This window comes from Homo sapiens, chromosome 15 (genome assembly GCF_000001405.40).
Source record: "Homo sapiens chromosome 15, GRCh38.p14 Primary Assembly".
Lineage (NCBI taxonomy): Eukaryota > Metazoa > Chordata > Mammalia > Primates > Hominidae > Homo > Homo sapiens.
This window is the reverse complement of record NC_000015.10, coordinates 82,891,352-82,909,308: the sequence shown is the minus strand read 5'-3', so window position 1 is coordinate 82,909,308 and position 17,957 is coordinate 82,891,352. Positions and strand designations below refer to the sequence as shown.

Genomic DNA, 17,957 nt, shown 5'->3' with positions numbered 1-17,957 from the left:
TGCTCTCGCCATTGCTCCATCTGTGAGGTGCACCCTTCTATAGAAGTAAATTGCCTTGCTGAGAAAACTTTTGCCTGAGTGCTGTTTTCACTTCGCAGCACCAAGCATTTACTTCCAACATAGCCAAATGGTTTTTTGGAATGATCAATCAACCTGAATGATCTTGAACTTCTTTGAGTTCCAGTACTCTTTCCTGGCTTTCCCACTGTGTTCCTGGCCCTGTGTTCATCCAAAGATAGTACCTTTTCTTGCCCCTGACATGAGTGCCTCCCTGGTTTGGTTGTTCCTCTCCTCTTTTCTCTCTGCAGACCCTCCCTGAGTGGTTTCATCCACTGTGATTTCTTCTCATCTGCTGCTGTGGGCTCCCTGGTGTTGTCTTCTAACACAGCAGTCACCCCAAAAAGAAATACCACTCACTTCCCAACATCTCTTCCAGTTGGTTCACAGGCAAGGCACACCCAGCATGACTAAAATCTCCTCTCAGTTGCCCAAGCCAGACAATTTAGAGTCACTGAGTCTTTTTTCTCCTTCATCCTCCATGTTTGATCTTTTTTTTTTTTTAAAAAAAAAGCAAAACAGCTGACTAAAAGAAAAACTTAAGACAAAATAAATTTAACAGAACAATTACTGAATTGGGCAGCCCTCAGAATCAGAAGAGATTCAGAGAATTCCACCCTACAATGTGGACATTGAGTATGTATGGACAGAAAAGGGCTGAAGAAAGCAGAAACAAGAAAGAACAAAAAGCAGATGGGTTGTTTCAAAGTTACTGTCCCTGTAAAGGTTAAAGTGGAGGGAGCTTCCTTATCATGTCAGATAAAACTGGCCTGTGTGTGGATTTGGCTATTCTCTGTCCTGATTTCTTGAAAGACCAGATAAACCACTTAGTTTTGACATGGTCACCTGGAACTTTAGTATAAGTGACTCCATTTTGGTTTGGTCTGTTGGGACTGAGTGCAGAAGCTCAGTCTGAATCAATGGCCTCCTATAAGTTTAATAAAGCTTTATTGAGATATAATTCACATAATATACAATTCACATAATATACATTCATTATACAATGAATGTATAAATACATATTCATTGATTTTTTTTCTACTGTAATCAGAGACTTTGGAACCATCACCACAATCTAATTTTATAGAACATTTTCATTCCCCCTGAAAGTCAGAATCCATTAGCAGTCACTCCCAATTTCCTCTACCCTGGCTTCCTGTGCTTGGACAGCCACTCATCTACTTTGTCTTCATAGGTTTTTTGCCTATTCTGGACATTTCATATAAATGGAATCATAGAATGTCTGGCATTTTGTGACTGCCTTCTTTCACTGAGCACAATGTTTTCAAGGTTCATCCTTGTTATAGCCTGTATCAGTATTTTATTTCTTTTTTATTGCCAAATAATACTCTATTATATGGATACACCACATTTTGTTATCCATTCATCTGTTGATGAACATTTGAGTTGTTTCTACTTTTTGGCCACTCCTATTAATTGATTTCTAGTTTAATTCCATTGTGGTATGAAAACAGATATTATATAATTTCTATTCTTCTAAATTTGTTGAGGTGTGTTTTATGGCCCAGAATATGGTCTATCTTGAATGTTCCATGTCACTTTGAAAAAGAACATGCAATCTACTCTTCTTGGATCAATAGTCTGTAGGTGCCAATTATACCCCATTGGTTGATGTCGTGATGTTGAGTTCAACTATGTACTGATTTTCTGCTTCTTTGAATCTGTCCCTTTCTCCCTTTCTCCCTTTCTCTCCCTTTCTGTCTCTCTCTTTCCTTCCTTCCTTCCTTCTTGCTTTCTTTCCTTTTTCTTTCCTTCCTTTCTCCTTCCTTCCTTCTTTCTTTCTCTTTCTTTCTTTCTTTCCTTCTCTTTCTTTCTTTCTTTCCTTCTCTTTCTCTTTCCTTTCCTCTTCTCTTCTCTTCTCTTTTCTTTTCTTTCTGATAGGGTCTGGCTCTGTCGCCCAGGCTGGAGTGCAGTGGCACAGTCTTGGCTTGCTACAACCTCTGCCTCCTGGGTTGAAGCGATTCTCATGCCTCAGCCTCCTGATTAGTTGGGACTGCACGCACCCGCCACCATGCCCAGCTAGTTTTTTGTATTTTTAGTAGAGACAGACTTTCACCATGTTGGCCAGCCTAGTCTCAAACTCCCGACTCTCCAGTTATCCATCTGCCTTGGCCTCCCAAAGTGCTGGGATTATAGGCGTGAGCCACCGCACCCAGCCTCGGATCTGTCCATCTCTAACTGAAGGCTGTTGGTATTTCCAACTATAGTAGTGGATTCATTAATTTTTTTCTTGTAGTTCTGTCAGTTTTGGCATGTATTTTGACACTTTGCTGTTAGGCACATACACATTAAGGTTATGTCTTCCTTTAGTATTGGCCCCTTTATTATTAGGTAATGACTCTTTCTCTCTTATAACTTTCCTTGCTCTTAAGTCTGCTCTGTCTGAAAGTGATAGAGCTACTCCTGCTGTCTTTTGACTAGTGTTATATGGTGTATGTTTTTCCATCCCTTTGCTTTTAATCTATATGTGTCTGTATATTTAAAGTGGGTTTCTTGTGGCTGGGCGCGGTGGCTCACGCCTGTAATCCTAGCACTTTGGGAAGCCAAGGTGGGCGGATCATTTGAGGTCGGGAGTTCAAGACCAGCCTGACCAACATGGAGAAACTTCGTTCCTACTAAAAATACAAAAAATTAGCTGGGCATGGTGGCCCATGCCTGTAATCCCAGCTACTCAGGAGGCTGAGGCAGGAGAATCACTTGAACCCGGGAGGCGGAGGTTGCAGTGAGCCGAGATTGAGCCATTGCACTCCAGCCTGGGCAACAAGAGCAAAACTCCATCTCAAAAAAAAAAAAAAAAGTGGATTTCTTGTAGTCAGGCCTTATTTTTTAACCCATTCTAACAATCTCTGTCTTTTGTGTATTTAGAACATTGACATTTAAGGTGATTTGATATCATTGGATTAATATCTGTCATATTTGTTACTGTTTTCTATTTGTTGCCCGTGTTCTTTGTTCCAATTTTTTCTTCTACACTTTTTCTGCCTTTTGTAGTTGTAATTGAGCATTTCATATGATTCTATTTCTTCTCCTTTCTTAGCATATCAATTATACTTCTTTTTTTACGCTTTTTTACTGGCTGCCATAGAGTTTGCAGTATACATTTACAATGAATCCAAGCTCACTTTCAGATAACACTATATTGCTTCATGTGTAGTACAAGTAATTTATAATAACAAAATAATCCTAACTCCTCCATCCCATAGCTTATATCATCCTGTCATTCATTTCATTTACATATAAGCATATATATACATACATATTCGAATATATTATTTTGATCATACTGTTATCTGTTAGATCAATTAAGAATAACAAAAAAGTTTTTATGCTACCTTCACTTATTCATTCTCTGATGCTCTTTTTTTATGTAGATTCAAGTTTCTGTCCTATCTCATTTTCCTTCTTTCTGAAACACTTAACATTTCTTGTAAGGCAGGTCTATTGGCAACAAACTGCATCCATTTTTGTATATCTCAGAGTCCTTATTTCTCCTGCACTTTTAAACAATAATTTCTCAGAGTACAAAATTATAGGTTGGTGTGTGCTTTTTTCTCTTAACAGTATATATTTTACTCCATTCTTCTCACTTGCAGGGCTTCTGAGAAGTTAGATGTCATTCTTATCTTTGTTCCTTTGTAGGTAAGGTGTTTCTTTCCTCTGGCTTTTTTCAAGATTTTAAATTTATTTTTGATTTTCTGAAGTTTGAATGTGATATGCCTAGGGTATAGTTTTTCTGGGCATTTATCCTGCAGGGTGTTCTCTGAGCTTCCTGGATCTGTGGTTTGGTGTCTGACATTAATTTGGGGGAAATTCTTAGTCATTGCTTCAAATGTTGCTTCTGATTTTTCTTTCCCTCTTCTCCTTCTAGTATTTTTATTATGCCTATCTTATACCTTTTCCAGTTTTCCCACAGTTCTTGGCTATTCTGTTTTTTGGTGGTTTTTTTTTTTTCAGTCTTTTCTCTTTGCTTTTTAGTTTTGAAAGTTTCAGAACTTCCAATCCCTGAGCCTTCCGAAAGCAGTTTAAGGCTGCCTTGAAGACTGAGAAAGGTTCTTTCCTCAGCCCTGTCCTGTCTACTAATGAACGCATCAAAGGCACTCTTCGTTCTGTTACAGTGTTTTTAATCTGTAGCATTTCTGTTTGATTCTTTCTTAGAATTTCCATCTCCTTACATTATCCATCTGTTCTTGCATGCTGTCTACTTTTTCCATCAAAGCCCTTAGCATATTAATCATTTAAAAAAATTCCTGGTCTGATAATTCCAACATGCCTGCCATATTACGACTGCAGGTTCTCATACTTGTTCAGTCTCTTCAAACTATTTTTTATTTTATTTTTTTACTTTTGGTGTGCTTTGTAATTTTTTGGTGAAAGGTAGACATGCTGTCCTGGGTGAAGGGAACTGCATAAATAGGCCTTTAGTAATGTGGTGATAAGGTCCGGGGGAGGGGAAGCATTCCATAGCCCTGTGACTATGTCTCAGTCTTTAGGTGAGTTTGTGCACCTGGACTGTGAAGTTTACCAATGCTTCTCAATTATTTTCTCTCCGCTTAAGTAGGACAGGATGGTTGAAGGGGGCTGGAGTTGGGTATTTCCCTTCCTCTAGCTTAGTTGGGTGCTGATAGTACCCCAGCTGATTGGGCCCTGGTAAATTAGTTTCTCCTGAGGGCAGGCCTTGTTAGGAAGGAACAGGTGCTCTGGTGTATTTTAAAATGGCTGCATTCCCCTCCCCCTGCCTCAAGCACGAGGGGATTTTTCTCTGATGCTCACTGTGAAAACCTGGTAAAACTCCTGGAAGTAAAACTGAAGACAGTGGGCAGGCCCCCCTATGATTGGATCCCTCTGGAGTTTTTAACTCTTGAGACCTACCCCACACTGAGTCTTCAGCAATTCCCCAATTGTAGTTCAGGTTTTCCTGCCCTGGCACTCATTTCCACAGAGGTCTCTGCTTATGGCTTTCTGCTCTGGTAAGTTGTTATTCTCGGTACCTGCTTGTCTCTCTAATTTTGGGGGCAGTGGTTTGCCCTGTGACCTCACTTCTGTGACAGAGCGGAGAAGAGGTGTTGATTTTTCCGTGTTTTTTGTTTTTTTGTTTTGAGCCAGTCTCACTCTGTCGCCCAGGCTGGAGTGCAGTGGTGTGATCTTGGCTCACTGCAGCCTCCACCTCCCGGGCCCAAGCGATCCTCCCACCTCAGCCTCTCGAGTAGCTGAGATTACAGGTGTGGGCCACCACGCCAGGCTAATTTTTGTATTTTTAGTAGAAACGGGGTTTTGCTGTGTTGGCCAGCCTGGTCTCGAACTCCTGGCGTCAACTGATCTGCCCGCCTTGGCCTCCCAAAGTGTTGGGATTACAGGCATGAGCCACCATGCCCAGCCCCCAGCTAATTTTTCTATTTCTAGTAGAGATGGGGTTTCACCATGTTGTGCGAGCTGGTCTCGAATTCCTGGCCTCAAGCCATCTGCCCGCCCTGGCCTCGCAAAGTGCTGGGATTACAAGGCGTGAGCCACTGCGCCCAGTCTTGTTCAGCTTTTTACTTGATGTGGGGTGTGGCGTGTGTGTGTGTGTGTGTTTAGAGGAGTTTCGCTCTTGTTGCCGTGTGTGTGTGTGTGTTTAGAGGAGTTTCGCTCTTGTTGCCCAGGCTGGAGTGCAATGGCGCAATCTCGGCCAACGGCAACCTCTCTGTCTCCCGAGTTCAAGCGATTCTCCTGCCTCAGCCTCCCGAGTAGCTGGGATTACAAGCATGTGCCACCACGCCTGGCTAATTTTTTTTTGTATTTTTAGTAGAGACAGGGTTTCTCCATGTTTGTCAGACTGGTCTCAAACTCCCGACCTCAGGTGATCCGCCCACCTTGGCCTCCCAAGGTGTTGAGATTACAGGCGAGAGCCACCGCACCCAGCCTTTTACTTGTTAAAATGGAGTGGCGACTTCCAAGCTCTTCACGTGCTGAACTGGAAACTGGAAATGCTCCCGACGCCATTTTGAAATCTCAGGAACCCACTCCCTTCCTTCGGTCCCTACCGCTCTAGGCCAGGCCCTCATCTCCAGGTGCCTGGATGATTGCGAAGTGCCTCAGTAATAGCTTCCGGTCTCTTCCCCCTTCAGCCCATCTTCAATAGAAGTGCCACAGTGATCCCTCTAAATTGTAGTTCTGATTGTGCCACTCCTTTGCTCAGCATTTTCTAAATTTATTTTACTATGGAACAATTTACATTTTGAAACACTAGTGGAAGATCAACCGATCATAAAATATAACAGACTCTTAGGTGGACAGCAAGATATGGTCTCACAGATGAATTAATTGCTGGGAGATTATTCACATTTGTGTGTGAATGCTTTGTAACAGAATAAAACAAAATTATTTTCAGCTTAAGAACAAAGTATGTAAGTAGATATCTAACTTCATTTTTATTGTAGATGAATATAAAAGCCCTCAGTATTTAAAATTGAGAACATTATTTTTCCAGTCCTTTAAAAAACCGTATCTAGTCAATATTAAGAATAATGTTTCCAAGTCATACCCTCATATCAGGTATGGCATGACGTCTTCCATAATTTGTTTCATTACAGTGTAATATGAAAATCTTTGCACACAGATGTGTTATAGCAAAAGGAAGAACACAAACGGTTCCTTCGGGAAGATTTTGTGCTCTCTTGAATTCAACTGTCTCAGAAATCATTAATCCTGTGACTTGGGCAGCATACCACCTGGTTTTTTAGAAATCACTTGGATATTGGCTGGGCACAGTGGCTCATGCCTGTAATCCCAGCACTTTGGGAGGCTGAGGTGGGCGGATCACAAGGTCAGGAGTTTGAAACCGGCCTGGTCAATATGGTGAAACCCTGTCTCTACTAAAAATACAAAAATTAGCCGGGCGTGGTGGCAGGTGCCTGTAGTCACAGCTACTCAGGAAGCTGAGGCAGGAGAATCACTTGAACCTGGGAGGCAGAGGTTGCAGTGAGCCGAGATTGCACCACTGCATTACAGCCTGGGTGACAGAGAGAGACTCGGTCTCAAAAAAAAAAAAAAAAAATCACTTGGATGTTTTCCAGTTCTTAGCTTGTGGAGTTCATATGTGAATCGTAAACTCTTTTTGTTTAAAACTTCCTTTGTTCATGATAGATTCAGGTGGGATGAATTTTTATAGTATAAATGTTAACCATACCATCTACAGAATAAAATCACAAATATATGTTGAAATCCTGAGACAAGATTCCTTCTATAGACAGCATACTGTGGATAGAAAGTAACCATCCATGCAGTGGCTGCTTTGTCAGAGCAAGAATACACCTGTGTTGTGGCTAACACGACAGATACCTGTGTATTATGCAGCCCCCAAGCTATTTCCTGGCAGTCTTGGCTTGAGAACACTTCTTGAAGGTGATAGCAGATAATTATGAGAATGACTATCCAAATGCTTTTAATGTTTTTCCTACATGTATGTTTTTTGGAATGTATTTGGAAGAGAAAATAGCTCCACAGAGCACATTAGGGAGATGCTGGCCCCGAGTTAAAGACTGATGTCCTTAGCCTGGTGCTCAGGCTCCATGGCTGTCTGGTTTTGGCCCTCCCTGAGACCTCATCTCCTGCCACCCGCTTCCTGTGCCACACAGTGGCCCTTGCTGATCTCTTGAGTGCACCTCTGGTGCCTGAATAGCTGTTTCCTCCCTTATCTGCTAAACCTAGCAGATTTGCTGGGCTCTGGACTGAGGTGGAGGGAGATATATGTGTGGAGGTGGGAGAGGGGTTTCTGTGCAGGGGTTCAGGGGTGCTGTTTGAACATAGGATGGCATTGCTATGTTGCTAGTGAGTTTTATTTTCTCTTCTGTCCCTGTCCTAGACTTCCCCTTCACTTCACTCATCCCTGCCGCCGTAATGTTTACCTATCCTGCGTCCTCAGAGAAGCCTTACCTCCTCCTCTGCACCCCTTTGCCTGTATTTGTTTTCCATCTCAGCTTTGCTTCTCCACAACTCTGCCTGTCTCCCTCCTGGCTGTCCAGGTCCTCACCCACTGCCCTGGGCCCATCCAGCCCTTTTGGAGAATCGGGACCCTTTTCCAAAGCACATGAGAATGGATCTGATGGCTTTTCTGGGTAGCCCTCTGCCTGTGACCCAGCCCCAGAACTTAGTCAAACTCACATCTCAGGAGGGCCAATAGGAGAATGTATGTTCAAAGCTCCTTAAAAACTGTCAGACACTCTAGGAAATAAGGTAGTGTCATTAATAAAGCCTGTCAGCATTCATCAGCGGCACTTGCCTCATCCATTCCCTGGTGTAAATGTGACCCAAAAAGGGAATTCCTAGTCAGAGGACTAGGAGGATTTGTGACAAGTATTTCTTCTATCAGATCACTAATTTATCAGGTTTGTTAATTGGGCAGTTTGGGGGCAGGAAGAAAATAACTTTAATAGAATGGGGCAGCTGTGACCTCCTTGAAGGGGCTCAGACCAGGCAAGGAGACAGACATCTGGCTAAGGTCCAGCAGATGCAGACTCTTCCTAGGGTGCATTGTTGTAACAGGATTTCTGTGTCTCCACTAATGAGCAATACTGCCTGTGTCATGCACTCACTTCTTTAGGCTTCTATTTCTGGACTCTCTGCTCTTCCATTATTTACCTACTTATTTGCTAAGACCTTCTGCCTTGTTTGCTATAACTTTATAATAATACATTTCAATATCTGAGATGGCTAAAACTCTTCATTGCTTTTCATTTTCAGAATATTTTGGCTGTCCTCACATAGAGTTTTCCAGTGAATAACCCTGTCTAGTTCTAAAAATAATAATTTTATTATGTTAGATTTATATATTAATTTAGGGATAATTGACAGCTTTGTGTTGGCTTTCCCATTTAAGAATATGTCTTATTAAAGTTTTCTTCTGTGTGCCTCAGAAGTTTTTGTTCTTACTGTATTTATTTATTTGGGTTTTTTAAAAAATGGGTCTTGCTATGTTGCCCAGGCTGGAATGCATTAGAAATTCATAGGCCCAATTCTAGTATGTACTAGAGCCTGGTCTCAAGCCATACTCCTGCCTCAGCCTCCTGAGTGGCTGGGACTATAGGGGCACACAATTGTACCTGGCTTGCTTTTATTTTCTAAACATAGATCTTGCATGCTTCCTAAATAGAGTCCAAGAAATTGTATCCTTTTGGTTGCTACTGTAAATGGGATTTTTGGCAATCTATTATTATATATTTTTTATTTTGAGATGGAGTCTCACCTACTGTGTTGCCCAGGCTGAAGTGCGGTTGCATAATCTCGGCTCCCTGCAACCGCCGCCTCCCTGGTTCAAGCGATTCTCCTGCCTCAGCCTCCCAAGTAGCTGGGATTACAGGTGCCCACCACCACACCCAGCTAATTTTTACATTTTTAGTAGAGATGTGTTTTGCCATGTTGGCCAGGGTGGTCTCAAACTCCTGACCTCAAGTGATCCGCCCACCTTGGCCTCTTAAAGTGCTGGGATTACAGGCATGAAACACCTTGCCTGGCCAGACAATCTGTTATATTTTCTATCTGGTTGTTTGTGTATTTAGGAAGGCTACTGATTTTATTAGTGATTTTATACCTAGCCACCTTACTGAATTTTGATTACTCACTTTTTCAGTTGATTTTCTTGGGTGTTCTCTATGTGCAATTCTATTATCTGCAAATAAGAATAACGTTACTGTGTGGATTTTGTATAAAAGTAGAACTCCAATATGCTTGTAAGTTAGATTCTTTGCATGGGAGAATGTACAAGAAAAAATTTCTGTCCACATCTCCTTTTTCCTTCAGTTCTCTGTTCTGGGTTCTGAGGATTTGGCCCTGCTGGCTGGCGTAGCCTGTTGACCACCTAGAGTGTGGGTCAGGGGCCAGATGAGCCCATGCTTCCAGTCCCTTGTGATGGGTGACCAGTCAAGGGCCTGTGTCTTCAGAGCACAAATCAGACTTCACAAGATGCTATGACAGTACATGAAGGGACAGTGAAGCGAGGATGTATTGGGTCCAGTGATGGGCACATGCATTGGCTGGGATGTGTGAAAGTACAGATGATTCAGAAGTTCTAGAAGGAAAGCAGCAGAAGCCCTTCTGGTGAGAGGGCAGGGCCAGGTGGTCAGGGGACAGCCTGTAATTCATGCAAAGCACTGGGAGCTGGTCCTGTTGGGGACAGAGCCAGGGAAGCCTTTGCAGCTGGGCAGGCAGAGTGTGACCCATCTGGACTAGAGGAAGACCTGTCGGTTGGTGTAGTAGATGGTGTTTGGAGGGGTTTAAGACTCAAGACAGATACAAACTAATTAGGGTACCTTACAAGACTTTGTAATACTGTAAAATAATGTCTGAAGGGTTTGTTTTAATTCAAATCAAATAGAAGTAGGAAAAATAAGAATTTTGATGTTTTGTAGGTTTATGTCAGAAAAAGTGTGGAGCTAAACATTGCAAGTGAAGAATTATAAGTTAAAACATCATTTCTCTCTCTCTTGTTTCTTTGCAAAAGTAGTCGTGCTAATTCTTTGCAGAATTATTTCACATGGAGCCAGAAATTGTTCAAAGCAGGAGTGGCCTCTTTGCCGAGTGGTTTTCATATTCCAAACATACATATGTTGCACAGAGTATCTAATTATTCTTGGGAACAATTACTGTCAGGTTCCAGAATGTGTTCAATGAACAGCAATTGGTGTTTATTCAGCTCTAAAGAGACTATGCAAGGAACGGTAGGTTATATTGTCTGTCTAAAGAAGCGTTCTGCCATCCGGAAACATCTGCTTTCTATTTAAAGCACTGAAGAAGGAATGGGAGTATATTTGAAATTTACTCTCTGAACATTGAACATCAAAGGAAGGAGAATAAATTTGGATATGAAGGTAATTTCTGTCCTCTGATACACTCTCTTCAGCTTTTCCCTGCTGGGAAGGAAACGCAGGTTGGAAAGTTCTGATTCTCTTAAATCTTTCTATTTATATTGATTTGCACACTGGAGGAAATGACTTCTATGTCCTACTTCTAGCTCTTTTGCTTTCTCAAGTGAAGCAGAAGACTCTTTCAAAGTCAGGGTCTGCTTTTCTGAATTTTGTGGTGAGGTCTCTGTTTGGATTTTGCCCATAAAGGTGTTAAGATTTGTTGTTCAGTTTGCCTGAAGTGATCCTGTGACCTTTGATTTTCTGTGTGGTGAGCCCTGCCCACTCACAGCCCTGTTGGGAGGATTAAATGAGAACATTTATGGTTTGCTTGGTGTGTAGTAAGCTTTCTGTGAAGGACAGTGTCTCTTCTATTGCTACGTAATAAACTGTCACATACATAGCATCTTAAACCACATTGCTGTGTGTCTGGAGTCTGGTATAGCTTAGTTGGGCCCTTTGCTTCAGGGTCTCTTGCAAGGCTGTAATCAAGGTGTTGACCAGGGTTGGAGTCTCATCTGAAGGCTCACATATGGAAAGATCTGCTTCCAAGCTCATGTGGTTGTTGGCTGAATTTCCATTCCTCCAAGGGAGTTGGACTAAGGGCCTCAGTTCCTGTCTGTCAGTTGGCTGGAGTCTTTCCTCATTTCCTTGTAAGGTGGATCTCCCTAATATGGCAGCTTGCTTCATCAAAACCAGTAAGGTAATTTATTGAGAGAGTCTGATAGGAGACAGATGTCATAATCCTATGTGACTTAATTACACAAATGACATCCCATCACCTTTGCCATATTCTGTTGGTTAAAAGCAAGTCACAGGTCTCACCCACACTCAAGAGGAGGGGATTCCATAAGGGCATGAACACTAGGAGGTGGGGGTCACCAGGAGTCACATCCGAAGCTGCCTACTACAGACAGCTATTATTATAGGAAGAGAGAATAACATAATGGCTGAGAGGGAGGGTTTCCATGTCACTTAGAAATAATATCAAATTGCTGGGTGCAGTGGCTCAAGCCTGTAATCCCAACACTTTGGGAGGCCGAGGCATGTGGATCATGAGGTCAGGAGTTCAAGACCAGCCTGGCCAAGATGGTGAAACCCCGTCTCTACTAAAAATACAAAAATTAGCTGGGCGTGGTGGCAGGCGCCTGTAATCCCAGCTACTTGGGAGGCTGAGGCAGAGAATTGCTTAAACCCAGGAGGTGGAGGTTGCAGTGAGCCAAGATCATGCCACTACACTCCAGCTTGGGCGACAGAGTGAGACTTCATCTAAAAAAAAAAAAAAAAAAAAGAAATGACATCAAATTTCAGACCTGTCATATACTGCATGACCCAAGTCAGGTTACCTGGCCTCTCTGAGTTCCTGTTTCCCCACCTGTTCAGCCCCTTCCCTGTAGGATTGTTGCAGTTTCAAAGTGGAGAGCGAGCCTAGCAGAATGGTAAGTACTCAGTAAAGGTCAGCTACGAGCTTTTCTTCTCCTTGCCTTTCTTTTTTGCCTTTTTTTGAAATATCATTAGACTTTTTGGATTGTAGAAGAATAGCATGGAACTCCCCAGTGCCCCCAGACTTGGTTATTCATGTGAAATCCCAGAGCGGCGGGTAGTTTCCTGCCAGACTGGCCGTGCAATCCTCCCCTGTTTGCCCAGGGGCTCGAGGATGAGGAATGCAGGTCTTTGGCCTCTGGAGGGCCATAGCTTCCTGCCATGGTGACTACCTCAGAATGGAGCTGCCAGGAGGCCCTGCAGTACCCCTCCCAGGTCTCTGTGCCTCCCCTCACACTGGAGCAGCCACTTGCCCTGCAGAGGGCCTGACCATGTTGACCAAGAGTGTGGCCAGGTGAGCCATTGTGTTCTTCCAACATCGTTGCATTTCTACTTGGGGGTCCCGAGGGCAGCTCACCATGACTTCAGTCCATCCACAGAGCTGAGCAGGCAGATTTGGAGATGGAACCCTTCTTGTCTACTCACTTTGACACCTGGATCATGCCGAGCAGACAGCCGGCTGCTTTGCCTGTGCCTGGTCAGGAAGCTCTGCCATCTTCTCGGCTCCCTGTGCCTTCCCCTCCATCTCTCCACTTTGCTTTCCTCACTTCCTCCCTCCTGTAGGCCTCAGGGACAGAGAGTGCTTGCGGAAGGCTACTGCTGGGCCACCACAGGCCGCACTCATCTCCACCCTCCTTCCTGACCAGAACAGCTCTGCCTCCCCTTGCCCCTTGCCCCCATCCTTTGCATCCAGAGACCCTGTTCTTGGTCCCCCTGTTGCCCCACCTCCAGCCCCCTCTACAGCTGTGGGAGAACTTTCTGGAGTCTCCCTGTGTCATTCAGTCACCAGTGTTGTTCTGGAGTAGAGATGCTGGCTCTAGGGGCCACTTCTTTTTTTCTTTTTTAGATCATCTGATTATATCTAATGTGAATGTCTCCCCAGCTTCCTTGAAAGTAAAAATCACCTGGAGTTCTTAAAAATGGAGCCCCTTGGGCCCTTCCTTGGAGAGCCAGGTTCAAGGGGGGCTAGGATGGGGCCTGGGAACATGTATTTTTAGTAAGTGTACCAGCTAATTCCTGTCATGGAGATTTAGGGAACACCCGTCTAAGCATGCCCAAACCGAGACCCAATCCCTCTTTTCTGATGTAGGGAATAGGAGGGAAGATCTGAAAGTCTGGGTCCCTTCCCAGAAAGGCCTTCTCTAACCCGTGGGCCCCCAGCCCAGCCCATTTAGTGCTCTGACAATGAGGCATAATTTGATTCTTCAACAAATGTTCTGTAGTTGCTGCCCTTTAAATTGCTCCTTCCTTTCACGTATGTAGGAGAATACTGTGTGTGGAAGTGTTTTCCTTTATGGTGTTGTACTTAGATGATTAGCAAAATATGGTGCTGGGCTGAGAGTGGCACAGCTGGGTGATCCAGACTGCAGACTGGATTATATCACATGGATGGGGTATGAGGGCTTGCACTGATATGCACACACTCCCTGTCGTCTGGCCTCTCTTGACAGCAGATGCGGGAAATTACAGTGAGAATCTTCCTTTTGTTTCTAACAGCTGTCACCCAGCTGCTGGAAGGGTGTTGGTTTAGCATCGAGTGTGTGGGTGAACTTGGTCTCTGTTTGAGGGAATAAAAATGCCCTAGTAATCCACAGCCCCAGAGGCACTTGTCCTGCTCCAGGGGACCTAGAAGGGAAGTTTCAGGGAGCAAGGAATGCTGCTAGCCTCTGTTCTGGAATGCTGGCCTCTGTAAACAGCTGCATTGAAGCAGCATTAATAGCATGCCTGAGGAGAAACAGGCATAAAGAAGATTGCTGCATTTCTTCAAAACCACGGTTGATGGTTGATGCTGCTGGTGTTACTCAGTAGCCCTTATATGAGGCTCAAATGGCAAATTGGTTTTCTAGGAAAAGTTTCTCAAGAGCATTCTTAAAATTTTAATAATGAGTATTCTACATTCAGGATGGATTCAAAGACTGCTTCGCCTAAAATCATTCCATCTAGAGACTGGAACACTTCAAATTCTTTTCTCTTTGATTTTTTTTTTTTTGTATCTTGTCTATGTCTCTTTTATTTTATCTCTTTTGACATTGTAAAGATTTAAAAAATTGTCTAAGTTACCTTTTAATTTTGTGTCTCTAATAAGTACTTATTAAATCTGTAGCATTTTATAAACAATGGGACTATTTTTTTTTTTTTTTTTTGAGATGGAGTCTTGCTCTGTCGCCCAGGCTGGAGTGCAGTGGTGTGATCTCAGCTCACTGCAAGCTCTGCCTCCCGGGTTCACGCCATTCTTCTGCCTCAGCCTCCCGAGTAGCTGGGACTACAGGCACCCGCCACCATGCCCAGCTAATTTTTTGTATTTTTAGTAGAGACGGGGCTTCACCGTGTTAGCCAGGATGGTCTCGATCTCCTGACCTCGTGATCCGCAACAATGGGACTATTTTTACACGTTGATGGCTTTTTTTCTATTTGTATCTTATTTTGAACACTTAAAGGATTTTTGAGCCAGTCTGTGTAAAGATGCTTTCTTCAAAAATAAATGTATTTTGTGATAAGTCTGTGCCATTTTGCATTACTTTGGGAAGTAGATAGCTTAGAATACAAAATGCAGTGAAATCCATTACAATTTTTATTCATCTGCCTTGTTTCTAAATGCGTATTGTCAAAATCTAATTCCCCACTCAACAGAAAGAAACATAGGTAATATGCAAATTTGGTGAATCGCATAAAATGCTTTAGGCATGTGGAGTGAAAAAGCAACAATATAGAGGCAAGAATAGCAGAAGGGATGGATTTGATGAATTTACATAAAACTCAAAAGGTTTATAAGTTGGAAACATCAAATTTGAAGGTTTGGTCAGGTTGTTGAATGGTTCCAGAAGTAGACTGAAGAGATACAGAGATAAAAAATAATTCTATCATATTACCAGGTGCAGTGGTTCATGCCCTATAATGGCTCATGCTGGGATTATATCCCAGCACTTTGAGAGGCTAATGTGGGAGGATCACTTGAGATCAGGAGTTTAAGACTAGCCTGGGCAACACAGAGAGACCCTGTCTCTACCCACCACCTCCCGGCAACATTAGCCAAGTGTGGTGTCACGTGCCTGTAGTCCTAGCTACTTGGGAGGCTGAGGCAGAATTGCTTGAGCCTCAGAGATCCAGGCTGCAGTGAGCTATGATTGCATCACTACGCTCCAGCCTGGGCAGCAGTGAGACACTGTCTCTTAAAAAAAAAAAAAAAAAGGCGCAGTGGCTTACGCCTATAATCCTAGCACTTTGGGAGCCCGAGGCAGGCGGATCACAAGGTCAGGAGTTCGAGACCAGCCCGGCCAACATAGTGAAACCCCGTCTCTACTATAAATACAAAAATTAGCTGAGCGCAGTGGCACACGCCTGTAATCCCAGCTACTCAGGAGGCTGAGGCAGGAGAATCGCTTGAACCCGGGAGGCGGAGATTGCAGTGAGCCGAGATCATGCCACTGCACTCCAGCCTGGGCAACAGAGCGAGACTCTATATCCAAAAAAAAAAAAAAAAAAAAGATAAAATTATGTCATTCATAAATTACTGCAAATTTGAGAAGTACTTAATAGAAATATAACATTAAGCTGCAAATAGATTGGAAAATCCTAAAATTGTTGCAGAATCCCCCAAAATTTGTCACAAAAATTCTAAAAAGTGAATTGGTTCCAAAATCCTAAAAATGACAACAGGATGTCAGAAAAAGTATAGGACACTTGACGGGGATTCGAAAACACTGAACAAGGAGTTGCCTTTTAAGCAAATTGTTCATTACACCAATTGCCCTGCAGTCTCGGGATAACAGCTAAGTGGAATGTGGTTTGCAAAAACTACTCACTGGTGTCTCTTTTTTTCTTCTCTCTTTGCTTTTATTTTAATTGTCTTCATGCATATGTATGTTTCCCTATAAGCTATTTAAAATCTTTTGGGGCAGTAGGTGGCCTAGAAATCATAAATTATACATTAAGTCATGTTCTCTCAACTCACACGCCCACTCTCTTATTGCAGAGAACAGCCCATCTTCACCACCCGAGCGCATGTCTTCCAGATTGACCCCAACACCAAGAAGAACTGGATGCCTGCGAGCAAGCAGGCGGTCACCGTTTCCTACTTCTATGATGTCACAAGGAACAGCTATCGGATCATCAGTGTGGACGGAGCCAAGGTACCACCCCCTCAGCTGATTTTAATACTCCCAGTTGCTTATCTTTCATCCAAGATGCACCCAAAATCCTGCCGTCTTAACACATAAGTTATTGTTATAATGTCTGTATAACATATTCTGTTCTTTTTGCATTTAAACTTACGGTAAATGGGGAAGAAAAATATTTCTCTGTTACCACTGTCTTCATAACTAACATTTTAATGCCTGTATAATAATTCTGCCGACGGCCTATAATGCTCTTAATTTCCCCCCGTGGTTGGATATTTAAGTGGCTTCCAATGTTTTGCTATTATAAATAATGAGCATCTTCATGTACCAAATATCCTCAATTGTTCACATACCATTGCTTTCTTTTGAATAGTCCTTAGGATAGATTCCTAGAATATTATGGGGCAAGATATTAACACTTTATGGCTCTTGATGCATATTGCCAGATTGTTTTCCAGAAGGGTTCGTTCTTCCAGCCTGTATGAGAGTGTCTGTTGTTGCACCCTTGCCAGCATTGGGTATTGTATCTAGTCGGGTTTTGGTGTTATTAGGCATAGGAGTTGAATTTTATTAAGTGGTTTTGGAGTATTTCTTGAAATACATATATATTTTTGTTATTCTGTCTCCCATGATATTTTTGCCACATTATCATGGGAACAGAATTAAGAAGGGATACCAGCAGAAGTATCACCAAGTCTTTAAAAAAAAAAAAAATAGACCTGCTGGTTTTCTGTCTTCATCCTGCTGTACATTTTTTACATGGATTATCTGCTGCCACCTGGAATTCAGTGTATCTAAAGCTGAATTCCCCTTTTTGTCCTCTAAACCACCTCTCCATTTTTATTCCCCAATCATTTGGGCTAATAAAGCGAAACATAGAGTCCTTCTTTAAGTTTGTCAAGTGAATCTGCCTTTGAAGTGTCACCCACTCGTGCCTGCTCTTTTAAGACCATAACTCTTGTCCTATCACAGTCTTGCCTGGACTCCTGCAGTAGCTGCCTCATCTCCTACCTGCAGTCTAGTCTGACTTTTGCCTCTAGATCAGCCTTCCTATGCAACAGGAAGCAGGGGAGTGGGGAGTCAGGGGCTGGGCAATAGAATGGGCCCTGGGTAAAGGCTTCTCCCCACACTCCACAAACAGAAGGTGTGGGGAAGCCTCCAGGGAAGCTCTCCCAGGGAAGGCACGAGAGCCTGCTGGTGCCTCCCGATCTCTTCAGGAGATCAGGGCACTTCAGCCCATGTTCTCTAAGTGACTGCTTTTTACCCTTTCTCTGCACTTTGGCAACTGCAGATAAAGGTGGCTTGACCCTGGGATCCTCTTGTTCTCCCTTCCAGTTGCCACAGC

At 43.1% G+C, this 17,957-nt stretch overlaps 1 protein-coding gene and 1 long non-coding RNA gene across 16 annotated transcripts in view; one reads left to right on the top strand and one right to left on the bottom strand.

Annotated features, from left to right (window-relative positions):
- Nucleotides 1-16,507, bottom strand: part of LOC105370928 (uncharacterized) — a 49,172-nt gene extending 32,665 nt beyond the window's left edge. Inside the window, exons 1-2 of the long non-coding RNA XR_007064741.1 lie at nucleotides 16,447-16,507; nucleotides 9,675-9,721 (exon numbers count right to left, since the gene is read on the bottom strand). This is a non-coding gene — a long non-coding RNA (uncharacterized LOC105370928). The remainder of the gene's footprint in view (nucleotides 1-9,674; nucleotides 9,722-16,446) is intronic.
- Nucleotides 1-17,957, top strand: part of HOMER2 (homer scaffold protein 2) — a 151,497-nt gene that overhangs the window by 76,849 nt on the left and 56,691 nt on the right. For 14 of the 15 annotated variants that reach the window (XM_047433359.1, XM_047433356.1, XM_011522232.3 and 11 more), the window contains one exon: nucleotides 16,468-16,624. In XM_047433359.1, coding sequence (XP_047289315.1) covers nucleotides 16,468-16,624 — 157 coding nt within the window. Of the gene's footprint in view, nucleotides 1-10,855; nucleotides 12,392-16,467; nucleotides 16,625-17,957 lie in introns of those variants that run through there. The other variant, XM_047433362.1, reaches the window with a different exon arrangement.